The sequence below is a fragment of the Homo sapiens genome, chromosome 6, assembly GCF_000001405.40.
Source record: "Homo sapiens chromosome 6, GRCh38.p14 Primary Assembly".
Lineage (NCBI taxonomy): Eukaryota > Metazoa > Chordata > Mammalia > Primates > Hominidae > Homo > Homo sapiens.
The window spans coordinates 251,032-256,694 of NC_000006.12; the positions used below are offsets into that span (position 1 = coordinate 251,032).

Consider the following 5,663-nt stretch of genomic DNA (forward strand, 5'->3'; position numbering starts at 1 on the left):
CAAAGTTAAAGCATCCTTATCTTCTTTGGATGAATCTCATTGGATTCAGTTTGTGTTTTGTTGAGGATGTTTGTATTGATATGTATAAGGGATATTGGTTTGTACTTTTCTTATGATATCTTTGACTGGTTTTGGTATCAGGGTAATACTGGCGACATAGAATAAGGTGAAAAGTGTTTCCTCCTCTTCTCTTTTTAAGAGTTTATGAGAGGGTCCGGGCGTGGTGGCTCATGCTTGTAATCCCAGCACTTTGGGAGGCTGAGGCAGGCGGATCGCTTGAGGTTGAGAGTTCGAGACCAGCCTGACCAACATGGAGAAACCCCATCTCTACTAAAAATACAAAATTAGCCAGGTGTGGTGGCACATGCCTGTAATCCCAGCTACTCAGGAGGCTGAGGCAGGAGAATTGCTTGAACCCGGGAGGTGGAGGTTGCAGTGAGCCGAGATCACACCACTGCACTCCAGCCTGGGCAACAAGAGCGAAACTCCGTCTAAGGAAAAAAAAAAAAGTTTATGAGAGATTGTTGCTAATTCTGCATTTGATAGAATTCACCAATGAAGCCATGTGAGTCTGAGCTTTTTGGTAGGAAGTTTTTAATTACCAATTCAATCTCCTTACCTGCTACATGTCTATTCGTATTTCTTATTTACCCCTCTCTCGGCTTCAATAGTTTGTGTCTGGTATACACATGTTAAAATAAAAATGTTAATTTGAAGTTTCTCCCCATCCCTGTCATCTACCTATCCTCCTTATTACTTGGGCTCATCTCCTTGACAGCAACTATAGGAAAAACAAGAAAGCAAAAATATTATCTCTTTACATGCGACAGATTCCTTTGGATTTTGCTCCCCCATGGCTTCTTTTGATATGTTTGGTCTCCTAGCCCCTCCTCTTTAAAACTTCTCGACTCTAGAAAAACACAGAAGAAAAAGACTGAGCGAGAGAAAGAGAAAGATTGTTCTAGTGAGATTTGAATCCATTCTGTAGTGCCACATGGATAAAAAGTAGGCCTATCAAATGTCACAAATGGGCTTGACTCACTTGGCATCTCAAAGCCCTTATGACATGTAACTGCTAGCAAAGGTGTGATGATTCATATCTTCAGCAGAATTGAGAACATGAAACTCTACTTTGCCTTCCTCCTTAGAATTGTTCAGAGGAAATGTTATTTCTTCCCTGAAAGTTGGTTGCAAGTTTCTTTCCTTTCTTACTGAATGAAATGTCACATATATTGATAGATGACCACTTTCACACAGAGCTAGGTAAATAAGATTATGATTCTTATATTAATTCCAGAGTGATGATTTGATAAAGAGAGGAGATAATCCATCATTTCATCCTTGCAACAGAGGTCTCAATTTTGTTGTTATTAGAAGGAGATGAATTATTTTTTCTTTAATATACTTTAAAAAACAAAACCAACCACCATCAGCAACAAAAATACTCTCTAAACTTGTGTTTAAACTGCAGCGGAAAAAACTATTTTAGTGAACTTAGCATTTTCCTAGTATTACCTCACCTCAGGATTTGAGTTTTCCAATGACTGTGGCAGTGCCTTGTTATTTTTAGGGATTCGACAGCCTTTTCTGCAAACCGTCCCCTTAAACTCTCCCTCATCTACCTCTGCATTGTGATTATCTCATATATCAAAAAGTTTCTTTTTCTCTAAGATGAAGCTGGCTTATCTTTATTCAGTCTAGAAGATTTGATTGCACAGAAATGATCTAATAGTTGCCCACCGAAGGATTTCACTGCACCCGAACTCATTCAAAATGCTTCCTTAGTCAGTTTGTTCTTGTTTTCCTTCTAAGTTTTGCATGCTTCTTAAACCCTGTTTCAGAAAGTCAAAGAAACATACCTTCTCATTCATTTAAACAACACTGAAGGACCTGAAAAAGCCTGTCCTTAATTATTTCATAACTGAAACGAAAACAAATTTTAGCATGTCAGTCTGATCTTGTAAGCCATACACAGGAAACCCAAGGTCAGCGTAGAGTGTCTTATTCTAGAATGGTAAGCCAGGCATTATTGTTTCTATTATTCTATAAATTACAGCTGACATGCATGTATGACAGCTTAACACAGATATTAAACAGACCAAAGAGACTTTCAATTTCTACCTACAGTGACAGATTATTTATCTCAACAGGTAAAATCATAATAAATCCAAAACTCTTAGGGATGCCATGAAGTGTTTATTTTCTAGTTGGAGAGGAAATTATGTTGGCACCTTAATTACGCTTTATTTTACTGTTTCATTCATGGGCCTCGGTTGCACAGAATCAGATGACTCATAATTCTTGCTTCACCACACACTTCCCCACTGGCCCATGCACGGCCCTTTTCTATTAATTTACTCATTTATTTATTTCTAATAATACAAAAAAAACACCCACGGACCCACCACCCATCACCACTGATCCATAAGCCAGGACTATGAATTTTTTTTTTTTTTGAGACACAGTCTCACTCTGTCGCCCAGGCTGGAGGGCAGTGGCATGACCTCGGCTCACTGCAACCTCTGCCTCCCAGGCTCAAGCAATTCTCCTGCCTCAGCCTCCTGAGTAGCTGGGATTACAGGCATGCGCCATCACACCCGGCTAATTTTTGTGTTTTTAGTAGAGACAGGATTTCATCATGTTGGCCAGGCTGATCTCGAACTCCTGACGTCAGGTGATCCCCCCACCTCAGCCTCCCAAAGTGCTGGGATTACACACGTGAGCCACCATGCCCTGCCGGACAATGACAATTTAACTCAGATTTTCTGCTCCTTTGCGACCTTCTGTCCCTGCTTCGCCCCACCTGACTCGCAGGCTGGTAACTGTGACTCTAAATCCTTGTCCATCATTCCCTTGCCTCCCTTTTTAACGTGGGGTTTTCACTTTGTGTCTCCTGATTAACAAGCTGATTTATTTTGTTTTATTTTTAAGTCCCTCCCAGATCCCACTCAGATATGCCTTTCACATCTTTGTACTAGAGGGAATGGCTTGGCTCATCCATTTTGGGGAAATTAAGTCTTCATTTATTCATAATTAATTCTTCATTTATTCAAACAGGGTTTAAGAAGCATGCAAAACCGGCAAGGGCAGAGAACAATCCCGTCTCAAGGGACAATAAAACCAAGAATCCTTTTGTGGGCTGTCTCGGTTGCCTCATACTGGTGTCTTCATGACACGCCAGCACGGGGCGGCTCCCCCATGGGCTGGATCATGTCTGTGGCTGGCCAAGCCCATGGTGAGCAGCATCAGGAATTTCCTTTCTGAGTGCTTTTCTGCATGATGGCTGAATTATGAATCTGTATTAAAGAGGTTTTAAAGAGGGGAGGTTGACTTTGGGGGCTTTTTGCCTTCTTGAGGTCAACGAAAGTTGGTTCGGCAGGAAGGGGGCATCCTGGGATAGTGGAAAGGACGTTGGATTTAGAGCTTAGAGACGTGAATTATAGCTTCAGTTCTGCAGCAGGTATAGCTGTGTGACCTTGAGCAAATGATTTCTACCTCACTGGACTCAGCCTCCTCTTCTGTAGAAGACACATTTGAACCAAATTATTTCTTTTTTGTTTGTTTGCTTTGTTTTTGAGAGAGGGTCTTGCTCTGTTGCCCAGGACTGGCACAATCACACAGCCCCTGACCTCCTGGGTTCAAGCGATCTTCCCATCTTGGCCTCTCAAGTAGCTGGGACTACAGACACACACCATCATGCCCAGCTATTTAATTTTTGTAGAAACAGGGTCTCACTATGTCGTCCCGGCTGGTCTTGAGCTCCTGGGCTCAAGCAATCCTCCCACCTCGGCCTCCCAAAATGCTAGATTTACAGACGTGAGCCGCTGCCCAGCCCCAGATGATTTCTAAGGATCCTATCAGAGAAGGAACTTGGGGAAAAAAATGAGTCAGGGTCTCATTGCGCTTCCTTCACTCATTTGGTTGTGAAGTCAACACGCATGCCATTGGGTTCCTACCATGTGCCAGGGATGCAGGAACTGAGGTCCTATCACTCTGTGAAGTACCATGTCCTGCAGTGTATTTCTCAGTCTGTCTGACTAAGTTGAGATCTGCTTATGAGCAAGGACACTGTCAAGCCTCGACTGGGACTAACTTAAGCAAAGGGGTAGATTTGCTGTAATACTACAGGAGTTGAAGTATTTCATAAAAGTCATAAGCAGGAATACAACTGGGCCTCAGTAAAAGGCTAGAGACATTACCCTGAATGTGGAGGGGAACCAGAAAGTCACTTCTCCGTTTCTGTTTCCATGTCTTTTTGGCAGCCTGCTTCATTCTTCACTTTGGCCATAGCTGCTACTTCATGGAAAATAGCCTCGACAACCACAGCATTTTATATACGAGACAAACTCTGTCTAAGTCTCCATTCTGAATTCCTAGGGAATAATTGTGATTCCCATTCCAATCCACTCTACTGTGGCCTGGCTGACGTGGAGGTTGGGGAGTTTAAGGTCAAACAATGGCCTTTCATCCTTCCACCATGAGAATGGGATGGGAGAGACACGCCTGGGAAGGTTTCATGTCCTCCAGCTCCGGTAGGGCCTGTGATCAGCGCTGGTTTGCTCATCTCTCTGTGCCTGGTGCTAGCCCAGAGTGGGTACTCAGAACCTGCATTCTGAATGAATGAACGTGTGAATACAATCAAGTAAGAGTGAAATTATAGGTAAAGAAAAACATACCAAGTGAACCCCACTCTTGGCTTTAAGAGGAAATTAAAAGAATATTAGCAGAAGAGAATAAGTCACACAATTTTGAAACAGAGCTTCCTGGAAGGCATGAAACTCGACACGTGACACTGTGCATTCACAGTTTACAGCCATGTGTTAGTATCTTACAATACAGAGAACGCGTGTGTGTTTTCTTATAAGGTATCAAACAAGTAGGAAGTGATGACGGAATGACTTCTCTTTTGAGTTTTCAGTGACTTAGAAGTCTTTCTCAGAGCTTTTCATGTCCATTTCAAAATACTGATATCAACAAAGAACGACCAATGAGGACAGAGAGGCCCGTTTGCATTCTCGTAGCCATGACCCTAAAATCCAAAGAAAGTTTCTAATGGAGAATCGTGGCATTTTAGAGCTAAAGTGAGCCTGTCCCAGCATCTTGTTCTTTGCCCTAACTTTACAAAAGAGGTTAAACTACTTGCTGCCAGCTAGAGACAGAGGGGACCCCTGGCTCAGTGTTTTGGAGAATCTTGAGCTTCAGTTGTCACCAAAGCCATGTGTGGATGACCTCAAAAGCTGCGCCTGATTTGTGCGTGAACACCTCATTCTCCCAGCCCTGGCTAACAAGAGCTACGTCAAAGTTAGGATGCATGGGTCTGAGCCTTGCTAGCCCGGAGTCAGGGCCCCAAAGAGGTCACAGGTTTATATTGACACTGTCTCCCAGGCAGGCAGCACATGGAGACATAGTGGTGGGAGAGTGGGAGAGATGTCTTTTTTTTTTTTTTTTTTCGAGACAGAGTCCTGTTCTTGTCGCCCAGGCCGGACTGCAGTGGTGTGATCTGGGCTCACTGCAACCTCGGCCTCCCGGGTTCAAGCGATTCTCCTGCCTTAGCGTCCCAGGTAGCTGGGATTACAGGCATGCGCCACCACACTTGACTAATTTTTGTATTTTAGTAGAGTCAGTGTTTCACCATGTTGGCCAGGCTGGTCTCAAACTCCTGA

General features: G+C 43.2%; 2 annotated features.

The window, feature by feature from the left end:
• Positions 1,093–1,162: an enhancer, noted in NCBI's record as "active region_23814". NCBI's record gives its function as "activates an Ori minimal core promoter by ATAC-STARR-seq in GM12878 lymphoblastoid cells {active_cell/tissue: GM12878}" and the evidence as "EXISTENCE:reporter gene assay evidence [ECO:0000049][PMID:35858748]".
• Positions 4,084–4,284: a silencer, noted in NCBI's record as "peak5614 fragment used in MPRA reporter construct". NCBI's record gives its function as "represses an SCP1 promoter by STARR-seq MPRAs in K562 erythroleukemia cells {active_cell/tissue: K562}" and the evidence as "EXISTENCE:reporter gene assay evidence [ECO:0000049][PMID:32103011]".